This window comes from Homo sapiens, chromosome 2, assembly GCF_000001405.40.
Source record: "Homo sapiens chromosome 2, GRCh38.p14 Primary Assembly".
Classification (NCBI taxonomy): domain Eukaryota; kingdom Metazoa; phylum Chordata; class Mammalia; order Primates; family Hominidae; genus Homo; species Homo sapiens.
Window position 1 is genome coordinate 233583663 of NC_000002.12, and position 12185 is coordinate 233595847.

The 12185-nt window shown below is 41.7% G+C and overlaps 1 pseudogene and 1 further gene, besides 1 other annotated feature; both read left to right on the top strand.

Moving 5' to 3' along the window:
• Window positions 1777-2629, top strand: UGT1A12P (UDP glucuronosyltransferase family 1 member A12, pseudogene; annotated as a pseudogene).
• Window positions 1777-12185, top strand: part of UGT1A (UDP glucuronosyltransferase family 1 member A complex locus) — a 187861-nt gene continuing 177452 nt past the window's right edge.
• Window positions 9601-9650: an enhancer, noted in NCBI's record as "active region_17350". NCBI's record gives its function as "activates an Ori minimal core promoter by ATAC-STARR-seq in GM12878 lymphoblastoid cells {active_cell/tissue: GM12878}" and the evidence as "EXISTENCE:reporter gene assay evidence [ECO:0000049][PMID:35858748]".

The window sequence follows — 12185 nt, forward strand, 5'->3', positions numbered from 1 at the left end:
CTTCCCGACTGAGGCAATGCCTCGCCCTGCTTCGGCTCGCGCACGGTGCGCGCACCCACTGACCTGCGCCCACTGTCTGGCATTCGCTAGTGAGATGAACCGGGTACCTCAGATGGAAATGCAGAAATCACCTGTCTTCTGCGTCGTTGCTCACGCTGGGAGCTGTAGACCTGAGCTGTTCCTATTCGGCCATCTTGGCTCCTCCCTCTGTTTTCTGGACTAGATTGTGAGAAACTGGTATTATTTCTTCCTTCAGTGTTTGGTAGAATTTATCAGTGAAGTCATCTGAACTTTACCTTTTTGTTTCTGGGAGCATTTGAATTCAAAATTCAATTTGAATTTAAAAGGTACAGATTATGTCATTTGTGTTATTAATTTCTTCTTGTGTAAAGTCTGACAGCTTGTGTCTTTTAAGAAATTTGTCCATTTCATATAAGCTGTAGATTTTATTGGCATGAATTTGTCCATATTCTCTTATCATTTTAATACCTGTAGAATCTATGGTGATACTACCTCTCCCATTCCCGGTATTGGTAATTTATATCTTCTGTCTTTTTTTTCCAATCAGCCTGGCTAGACATTGGTCAGGTTAATTGATCTGCCCCAAAAGTGAGCTTTGGTGTCATTGGTTTTCTCCATTGTTTTTCTATTTCCTATTTCATTGATTTCTACACTGAAGTTAGCCTCCAGGGAAGGTAGATCACTCACTGTCATGTTTGTTTTTCAAGGACAGTCATCTACCAGTGCGCCAGTCACCAAGGGACAGGTGACTAAACAATGTCTAGTACCCATTAATGTGTCCTGGAGGGAGCCATCTTGTGCTCCTACAAGAATTATGCCCTGAGGTTGGCTGCTGATTCCCTCACTAAATGTTCCTCAGGGTGTTACCTCACACACACTGCTGGGCTAATCCATGGAAATCTCCATGATGTAATTCAGCCCAATGCAACAAGAATTCCGTGAACTTCCTCTATGCCAAGTATAGCATGGGTGCTGTGGAAGGAGGATGAAAATAGGAAGAAGACATAACCTCTGTCTTCAAGGGGTGCTCAGGATACTGGGGGTGACCAATACATATTCCTGAAACAAGGCACCAGACCGATGGGGTGAGCCCACAGCAGAGGCCTACAGCTCTGTTTAGAATGAGGAAGCAGAGCAGGCTGAGAGAGGCAGCTCAGCAGAGTGCTTAGGCAAGCATAGGGCCACGACTCCCCACTGCAGGCAACATATCTGAGGAAAGCCATTTACAATAGGTGATGGTCACATTCCATCAAATCTCTGGAAGGGTTCATGGAGGTGGGGTTTTCAATCTTATTTCAGCCTTTCAAAGGCCTCTCAGGGTTTGGAAATGGAAGCAACAATGTCTGTGCATTGCAGAGACACAGGTGAGCCCCCATTTCCTGCCAGTTAGGAAGTCAGTGCTGAGGGCCTTACTGTATGTCCTTGGCACATGAGATGCCAGTTCCTTTCTGGGCAGAGAGCTTTTGGTTGTCTGAGGATAACATTGAAACTTTGCTTTGAAATGCATTTCAAAAATATGAACTTTATTCAAATTTACTTTCCTTTTTTCATTCTGAATTCTTAAGGTCCAAAAGCATTGCTGAATAATTCTGCTTCTAAACCCCCATTGCAGCACAGGGCATGAACTGTCCCCAGGGCAAAGAACATAAGGTAGTCTTGTGTGGAAAACATACAAGTAGGTATCTCAGCAAATGCTACCTACTGTATCACAGTAGCTTAGAATCACAGCTGCTCACTCTGGGCTGAAGTTCTCTGATGGCTTCTGCAGGGTGGACTGGCCTCCTTCCCCCTATATGTGTGTCTACGGCTGACCTGTGGCTTTGCCGAGGCTGGGAAGCTGCTGGTAGTGCCCATGGATGGGAGCCACTGGTTCACCATGTGGTCGGTGGTGGAGAAACTCATTCTCAGGGGGCATGAGGTGGTTGTAGTCAGGCCAGAGGTGAGTTGGCAACTGGGAAGATCACTGAATTGCACAGTGAAGACTTATTCAACCTTATACACCCTGGAGGATCTGGACCAGGAGTTCATGGCTTTTGCCAATGCTCAATGGGAAGCAGAAGTACGAAGCTTATTTTCTCTATTAATGAGTTCATCCAAATGTTTAGAATTTAATTTTTCACATTGCAGGAGTTTGTTTAATGACTGAAAATTAGTAGAATACTTAAAGGAGAGTTCTTTTGATGCGGTGTTTCTGGATCCTTTAGCTATGTGTGGCTTAATTGTTGCCAAATATTTCTCCCTCCCCTCTGTGGTCTTCACCAGAGGAATACTTTGTCATTATCTTGAAGAAGGTGCACAGAGCCCTGCTTCTCTTTCCTACAGCCCTAGATATGTCTCAGGATTTTCACATGCCATGACTTTTAAGGAGAGAGTATGGAACCACATCTTCTTCTTAAAGGAGCATTTATTTTGCCCATATTTTTTCAAAAATGCCTTAAAAGTAGCCTCTGAAGTTCTCCAAGCACCTGTCATGGCATATGATCTCTACAGCCACACATCAATTTGGTTGTTGTGAATGGACTTTGTTTTGGAGTATCCCAAACCTGTGATGCCCAATATGATCTTCATTGGTGGTATCAACTGCAATCAGGGAAAGCCAGTGCCTATGGTAAGTCGTTGCTCCTTTAGCACATTAAAAGTATTCTGGATTTGAATATTTAAAAAGATTTCTTACTGAACTGGGATTTGACATTTGTGTTTATTGCATCTAAAATTTCTTTTCTATGTAAAAAATTATTTTGTGCCTTCCACATGCTTGTTAGTTAGCAACTTTTATATAATGGCCTCATTAATATGTATGTCTATACAGTTGGTTGGTTAATTGTTCATAATTTCCACTGCATTTTTTTTTTTTTTTTTTTTTTAGAAACACGGTTTTGCTATGGTGCCCTGGCTAGACTCAAACTCCTGGGCTCAAGTGATCCCCCTATGTAAGCCTTCCAAGCAATTATGACCTTTTTAGTATTTTTGGAAAAATACTTAAAACCACAATAAGAAATGAAACTTTCATTTTAGCTAATCCTGTAATACCTGCTACAGTAAAATGCTCTTTGCAGTTTTGTATGCATGTGTTTCCATTTATTGAAATTACTTTATATATAAGCATATATGTAAATGTTTACACTTATTTTATTAAAATCAAATCTATCAGGCTGGACATGTTGTCTTTGCCATGATTTTTTACTTGCCAGTAAATCAGAGACAACTTTACAGATTTGATATGTTCTTTTAATAATTGATAAAAGTCTTTACTTTGGATGCAACATAGTTGCAAGCTTTCCCAGATGTTTTTCTGCTAAAGATTTGGCTAACTTCTTCAAAACAACAATAATAAACAGATGTTGTCTTTCTTTGACCCTGAAGAAAGTATAAAGCAAAATGCCTTTAGCCACCCAAAACAGTGTTACCATGACGTTTGGTCTCGTCCAGTCTGCTTTTGATTTGACTGGATCGCTTTCGTTTCTTGGTAGCCATTGCTTTGATTGTGCTTTGTCTTCAGGGTCTTACTGGTAAAGCTATGTTTCATCTCCTGTTACAATTCTTTGAAGAGATGCTTCAAGGTCTGGATCCCACTTGTTTATAATTTCCATTGAAGGGTCTGTTCTTGTCTGCAGATGATCTGGCTGTAACGGTTTTGGCACCCAACAAGTGGAAAATTTGTTCAACTGAAATTTTTGTCAGAATTGTTTAAACTGATCTGATTGAAATTTCTGTTGTGTTGGCTATTGTTTCTGCTGTTAATTGTCAGTCCTCTTCAGTTAGAGTATGAGCAAGATTAATTGTTTCCTTGTGAATTGATGTATGGATGGTCTGCTGGTGTGGGCTTCATCTTCACCATCATCTTGTCCCTTCTTAAAAGGAATTGCCCATTTGTAAACTGCTAATTTTTTGGAGCATTTTCCCCATTAACTTTCTGTAAAGCATCAGTGATTTCACCGTTCTTCCCTCATGTCTCAGCATAAATTTTAGGCTATTGCTTCAATTGTAGCAGAATTCATGTTGTTTTGATGGGGACTTCTTTCCAACTGATGTCTTATCCTTCTTAGTGCCTCAAACTAGATCCTACTCAGACATGTTTTAACAAGTTAGCATAAGTTTGTTTTGGTGCAAAGAAATTTGAAATCCATGCTTAAGTTTTTCATAATATGCATTTTCATTAATCGTGTGATGATCCCTCATCTATTACTTTTATAGGGATGGGCCACGCATTTTTGTTCATTGTTCTGGCTTCTTACAAGGTTCAGTAGACTTTGTAACACAGTTGTGTCTCTCACAGATTGGCAGATGTTTGGTAAAGGATTGACTTTTCAGCCAACTCATGGGAAAGTGAAATAATGTAAAAAACAGGAAGAATACAGTTTTAGGCCTTTCAAGTGAGGCATGGCTTTCAGCTCTTGGCAAGAACAGGCAAGGAGATGCAAGTTTTAGGACTCTAAGAGGCTAGGCTTTTCAAAGTGCTTCTCTCCCCTTCACCCTCCTTCAGTTACAGCACCAAGCACCACCGAGGTGTTACCTGCAGCCTCACTCTCTACCTGGTTGTGGGATCCTGCCACTTCCTTAACCCACACTGAGTTCCTTGTGGTTCACAGGGTCACACAGAGGGCTGTAGAGATACAAAAGATATATGTGATTTTATATCACCTATCATATGAAGATATATTTATAAAATAGGAAACATATTAACCACTTATCATTTTATATATTTATGGTTTTATGTGTCAAAAATATATTGTTTCATGTATGTATTAAAGGATAAGTATGTATAAGAGGTTTTATAGATGTGTAAAATTATATATTTATACGTATCTTTACAAATTTAAGAATAAAGGAAGGAAAATTCTCAAAGAGGAATTCAGATATCAAGCAGTGCCCTTTGACCAAGAGCCTTGGTTACAACATACCTACAAAAGTGAACTATCATTGAAAGACCTATGGACACTGGATTTCTCTTTCCTTATTTAGAAGGGCAGTCTGTGTCTTGGAAAAGCATACAGTTTGTTGTATCTTGCTGGACAACAGGAGTCATAGTCTGAAGTGTCTGATGAGAAGGAAGCATCACTTGATGCAGTGTGCATCTGTGCCCATGTATGTGCACGTGTGTTTGTGTGTGTGCATGCACACATGTGTCTGCATGCAGTGTCTCAGATCCTACATAGGGGTTTTTCCTGAAGGTCTCCAGTAGCAAAAACTCATTGAGTCTATCCAGGGGAATTACATCCAATGCCGTAATTAAATACTTTAATGAAGATGGCAGATCATCATTCAAGAGAACATCAGGATAATTTTAATTGAAAAAAAGAAAAAAGGAATCACTCCCAGGGTTTTTTAGTTTTTGGTGAGTTCCAGCAGAATTGATGACTAGGTCCAGTAGGAAGGAATTCAGGATTACTCTGTACCATCCAGGGTGAGTGTAGCTCTGAAGAACTGCGGGTGGGAAGTGACTTCACAGCAAGAAAAGATCTGGGCTTCCCCCATTGCTCTAAGATCTGGTTCCATTGTGAGATTCAAATTAAGAGTAAGCTGTTAATGGGCAAGCCCAAGGTCTCCCACCAAGATTATTCAATTCAACTTCTTTTTTTTTTTTAATCAAACATATGGCAAGGAGAGACTATAGTGTGATGAACACCTATATATCCATCTTTGTGTTACATAATTTTCAATATTTTATTATACTGATTCATGTATCTGCTCTTTTGTTTCTTTTTTAAAAAAACTTCTGGCTATAATTTTTTAATGGAAATGCTGTACATATCATTCTATCCCCAAATACTTCACTAAATATGAAAAATAAGGAAATTCTGTTACATAGCCACAATATCATTATCATTCCTCACAGAATCAATACCTCTTTAATATTGTCTCACTCATAATCTATAATGAAATTTCCCCTAATTGTCTCAAAAATGTCTTTTACATGCAGATCAGTAGAATGGAGTTGAGAATCCAGAAATAAACCCATACATCCTTGGCCAATTGATTTTTACTGTGGTGCCAAGACTGTTCAAATGGGAAAGAATAATCTCTTCAACAGAGGTCACTGCAACAGCTGCATATCCACATGCAAAATAATGAAGTTGCACCCTTATATGCAAAAACTAACTTGAAATGGATCAAATAGCTAAATAGAAAAGCTAGAAGTGTAAAAGTTTAGAAGGAAACATTTGGGCAAGTATTAATGACCTGGATTTCTGGGATGTGACACCAAAAGTATCAGAAACACCAACAAAAACAACACAGACATATTTGACATCAAAATAAAAAACTTTCGTGCATCAAGGGACACTATCACGAGAGTGAAAAGACAACTCACATGGCTTCCCTCGCTAAGATGTGCAAACAAACGTATACATGCTTGACATGGAGGCTCCTGGGAGGCGATCACAATCCTCAATGACCTGAAGTCCCAAAATCTTGAATGTTAAGATCCTGAAAGATCAATGTCCCACAAATATAATTCCAGAAAAAATAACTTTAAAAATTCTTTAAAAGATATCTGTTTACATTTTAAATGGGGATTTATTTGAAAAATATATAAAAACAGGACAGAACACTTCATAGGCCACTTTACACCCTAAAATATATAATAATAATACATATTTTTGCAAGCTTAAACCCTCAGGTGTACTAATGACTGTCACATAGGTGTATCACTTGTGAGCAGATGAATCATATTCATAGAATAACAGGTCAAAAAAAGAAAAGTATAAACATATATCATTGTGGTTGGTAATTGTGTGCACTCAGCTTTACAGCTCTGATCATCTGACATACCTTGAAAAATGAACAGAGACTTTTCATGAGGTCAGTCAAAAACCTCTATGGGTCACCACCACATACACAGTTGCTCAAAGTGCCCAAGTCTTGAGAGCCTCACCCTCACACGTAGCTGGGATTACAGGCATCCACCACCACACCTGGCAAATTTTTATAGTTTTAGTAGAATGGGGTTTAGCCATGTTGGCCAGCTTGGCCTTGAACTCCTGACCTCAGGTGATCCGCCCACCTCGGCCTCACAAAGTACTGTGATTACAGGCATGAGCCACCACGGCCGCCTGAGAAATTTTATCTTTCACAAATACAGATATACAAAAGGGACATCTCTTCATTTATTGAGGACGTTACAACGTTTTTACATACATGCCTAATGCTTACACACGGTTAACCCTTTGATAACGCACTTTCATGGAGTCAAATTTGTGACCATAAAATGAATTCGAATTCTCTAAAAGTCTCCACACACTTTCTGCCTTTGGTATTGGAAATGATGTGCAGATGAAATACATATAGCATAGCAAATTGCAAAAAGAATGCTGACAATGTAATCCTGTGAAAAAACCTAAAAAGAAGAAAAAGTAAAAGGAAAAAACTCCAAATTAACCTATGCTGTGATTGTGATTTTTGGGATTTTAGCTGTTAGAGAGTTTAGATTTTAGGGAGTTAGACCTTTGGGATTTGGATCCTTAGGGAATTGATATTTTGGAATTCAACATTCAGAATTATGGGTTTTGGGATTATGTCTTTCAGGATTATGATCCAAACCCTATAGCATCTTGTTTGTTAGCATAACGTGTACAAATTTTAGATACATCTCTGCACCCCAGCAGAGCATCACGAAATTGAGTAGTTTACAGCACAGCTTCTTAACCTATCTGTGACTAAGGAATAACACAAAAAGTTTTCTGCAATTCATTATAGATCCATGTTTTTCTGTAACATATAAAAAAAAAATGCTACAAAGTGAAATGAAATCAGACTATAAAATGCAAAACAACAGAGGATTGCTTGGCTGACAGCAACACCAATTGCTACAGGAATTTCTAAGTATTTCCTGCAGGGTCTGCACCCGTGCTGAGATGGGCGGGTAACACAATGAGCTGGAAACCATACCTTGAGCAGCACTGTTTTAGACCCAATCCAATGGTGCTATGTGAGTAGTGTTTAATCAGAAATAAGGCTGGGTGCAGTGGCTCACGCCTGTGAGCCTGAGGTCAGGAGTTTGAGATCAGCCTGGCCAACATGGTGAAACCCCGTCTCTAATAAAAATACAAAAATTTGCCAGGTGTGGTGGCAGTCACCTGTAATCCCAGCTACTCAGGAGGCTGAGGCAGGAGAATCACTTGCATCTGGGAGGCGGAGGTTGCAGTGAGCCGAGATCTCACCACTGCACTCCAGCCTGGGTGAGAGAGCGAGACTCTGACTCAATAAATAAATAAATAAATAAATAAAAATAAAAACTAAACAGAATACTTTCTGTTTTGTTAAGGTGCTAAATACATTGTCACAAACACTGAATAATTAGTGATCACCAGGGCAAAGTCTATCATCAGCTACCAGTTTTCCTTATAACCTTGTGTTTTGGGAACCTAGCAACCCTTCTGCCCACTAAAGTGATAACTCATGCAGGTTTGCCCAGAATATTCCCAGTTTAACACTGGAAGTCTCATGTCCCGGGAGACTCCTCGTTCCCCAAGGAGCAGGGACAGCAGGTCACTGTCACTGGAGCACTGGAAGCTGGCCACATCACTAGGAGATTCAGAAGGGGCACGACTTAAGGAGGCTCATGCTTCTCTTATCTTCTGCTTTCTGCTGTCATTTCCAATGGGTGACAAGTTCCTTCCACGCAGAAGCCAGGCCAGGAGATAAAGTCATCTTGTCCTAGAAAAACTGTTAAGAAAGAAGGGAAACTGTCTAGTGTGTTTCGCCAAAAGAGTTTCACAGACTCTTCTCTTATTGGGGATATGGGGGTGGATGATCACTGTCCTGGTCTCCCTGAAGCAAGGACACCTCTCTGGCCTCAGGGTGCCTGTCAGGCAAGTCTCTCCTGTCCCTGGAGGTTCACAGAGCCCCATCCCTGCAAGAGCAATGCTAAGTGGGGTTGGCTTTGAGCCCCAGCCATTCTCTTAACAATTCTTTTAGTTAAGTATCAGTTCCCTCATCCCCCCACTCCAGCATTTTTTGCCTCTTGCTATGATCAGTTTTCTCACTTTCACTTTTACACCTCTGATCACTGAAAAATTACAGAATTATAAGTTTGGAAAAGGAGTCTATATTTCTTGGAAAAGGTTACAACCTTCAAGGTGGCCATCTAGCTGGCTGGGAAGCATGACCTCTGGCAAATACCAGAGACAGGCCCTTGAAAGGAGAAGGGATGGGGTAGGAGCTTTATGCTGAACAAACTGGGTAAACATACATATTCACCAGGTTACAGAAGGAGCTATGAATATTTATGAAGGCCATCCTGACTCATGCGTATTGAACACACATGCATGTTACATATGACCCATGTTCACCCTGGGGTGGAGACATCATATTTAAATGGATTACAATTAGGCCCTATACATCAAAAGGTCTTTTCAGGGCACAAAGGCACTCAAATTCACAGTCTCTGTAAATTGGCCAGAACCAGTCTGTGATCACCAGTCACTGGTCTTCTTACCAGGAGAAAGTTACTGAAATCAGCCTCTTGTCCAACGAAAGCTGTATTTGTGGCTTATGGAACAAGGGATGGGCATCAGTTAGCATCTGGTGGAGCTGCACTTGTTTAACATTGTTTTTCTCTAGACCTGTGCTTATTTAGCTGCTAGAGAAAAAGAAAAACTCTGTGGCAGTCAGAACATAGTTGATTCTTTAAGTGTAGGCGCCCATGACTCAACTCTTGCTTGGCGTGGCTTGAGGTCTTGTGTGTAGTTTGGTATCTGATGGCCACAAAAAGTCCATTGTATCCGTCTCATCTCTATTTTAACATTAAAGCGGGTCAGTTGTGTTTATACCACAAAAGGGAGGGAGTGTGATGAGGCGTGTCCAGGCTTCTGTTCTGTCGTGGCTGTGACTCAGTTTTGGTTTCTCTGGGGTCTTTCTGGCCAGGAGGGGTCCATTCACTTGTTGTGGGAGACGGGCGGCACTTAGTATTTTCTTTTCCGTTTACACCTTCCTGGGCATCTGCATTAAGATGTGCAGATACACCAGCATGACACATGTATACATATGTAACTAACCTGCACATTGTGCACATGTACCCTAAAACTTGAAGTATAATAATTAAAAAAAGATGTGCAGATAAACACGCATATGCTTCATGTGGCAGCTCCCTTGGTTAAACATTTTTTTTTTCCTTTCCTATGAGACTTCCTGAACAAGTGAGCCCAGGTGGAACCTCTGCCTGTGTTAGGACCTAACCTTTCTGTGGCTTTCTGGAATCCCTGGTGTCAGAGGTCAAGTGTGGATTACTGCTGCTTCCCCTCACCATCTTCTCCTTTCCTTCAGTCTGTCCTGACAATGTGATACCCCACAGGATACACTGCCTCTTTGGCCCACTCAAGGGGGCATTTTGGTGATGCCCTGTGGCCTGCAGGCCCCCACCAGCTATCACGGTCCCCATCATCTTGCCTTCCCTGGCTCACAGGCTTTATTTTATGCCACTCTTCATCCCTCCTCTGTGCAGCTCCCGTTTTCCTTTTCTCTCCTTCTTCCTTTTCTCTATTTCCTTCCCCACCAATTTCTTTCCCTCTGTCACTTCCTCAGCGTGATCCCTGTTCCAGAGGTATAGGATGATATGGTTTGGCTGTTTCCCCACTCAAATCTCCTCTTGACTTCTAGCTCCCATAATTCCCACGTGTTGTAGGAGGGACCCAGTGGGAGATAATTGAATCATGGGGGCAGTTTTCCCCATACTGTTCTCATGGTAGTGAATTCATCTCATGAGATCTGAGAGTTTTATAAGGGATTTCCCCTTTCCCTTGGCTCTCATTCTCTCTCCTGCCTGCTGCCACGTAGACATGCCTTTCGCCTTCAGCCTTGATTGTGAGGCCTCCCCACCCAAGTGGAACTGTGAGTCCATTAAACCTCTTTTCAAAAATGTAATTTATCCGGTCTTGTATCTCTTTATCAGCAGTGTGAAAACAGACTAATACAGTAAATTGATCCCAGTAGAGTGGTGTGCTGCTCTAAAGATACCTGAAAATGTGGAAGCAACTTTGGAACTGGATAACAGGCAGAGGTTGGAAGGGTTTGGAGGGCTCAGAAGGAAACAGGAAAATGTGGGAAAGTTGGGAACTTTCTAGAGACTTGTTGAATGGCTTTGACCAAAATGCTGATAATGATATGGACAATGGGATGAGAAACTTGTTGTGAATTGGAGCAAAGGTGACTCTTGTTATGTTTTAGCAAAAAGATTGGCAGCATTTTGCCCCTGCCCCAGAGATTGGTGGGACTTTGAAATTGAGGGAGATGACTTAAGGTATCTGGCAGAAGAAATGTCCTTTTTTTTCTTTTTTTTTAAGATGGAGTGTCGCTGTGTCGCCCAGGCTGGAGTGCAGTGGTGCAATCTTGGCTCACTGTAACCTCCGCCTCCCAGGTTCAAGCAATTCTCCTGCCTCAGCCTCCTGAATAGCTGGGATTACAGGTGCACACCACCATGCCCAGCTAATTTTTGTATTTTTAGTAGAGATGGGTTTCACCATGTTGGTCAAGCTGGTCTCAAACTCCTGACCTCGTGATCTGCCTGCCTTGGCCTCCCAAAGTGCTGGGATTACAGGCATCAGCCACTGTGCCCGGCCAGCAGGAGAAATTTTTAAGCAGCAAGATATTCAAGAGGTGACTTGGGTACAGTTAAAGGCATTCAGTTTTAAAAGGGAAACAGACATAAAGGTTCAGAAAGTTTGTAGTCAAGCAGGCTGCAGAAATTTGCATAAGTAATAAGGAGCCAAATGTTAATCCCTAATACAATGGGGAAAATGTCTCTAGGGCACATCAGAGGTCTTCATGTCAGCCGCTCCCACCATAAGCCTAGATGCTCAGGAGGAAAAAATGGTTTCCTGGGCTGGGCCCAGGACACCCCTGGTGTGTGTAGCCTAGGGACTTAGTGCCCTGTGTCCCAGCCACTGGTGCATCTCAGTCCCTGGCTTCAGAGGGTGCAAGTCCCTGGCAGCTTCCACGTGGTGTTGAGCCTGCGGGTGCACAGAGGTTTGGTAAACTCTGCCTAGATTTCAGAGGATGTATGGAAACACCTGAAAGTCCAGGCAGAAGTTTGCTGCAGGGGCGGCCCCTCATGGAGAACCTCTGCTAGGGCAGTGCAGAAGCAAAATGTGGAGTTGAAGTCCCCACACAGAGTCCCCACTGGGGCAGTGCTTAGTGGAGCTGTGAGAAGAGGGCCACCATCTTGCAGA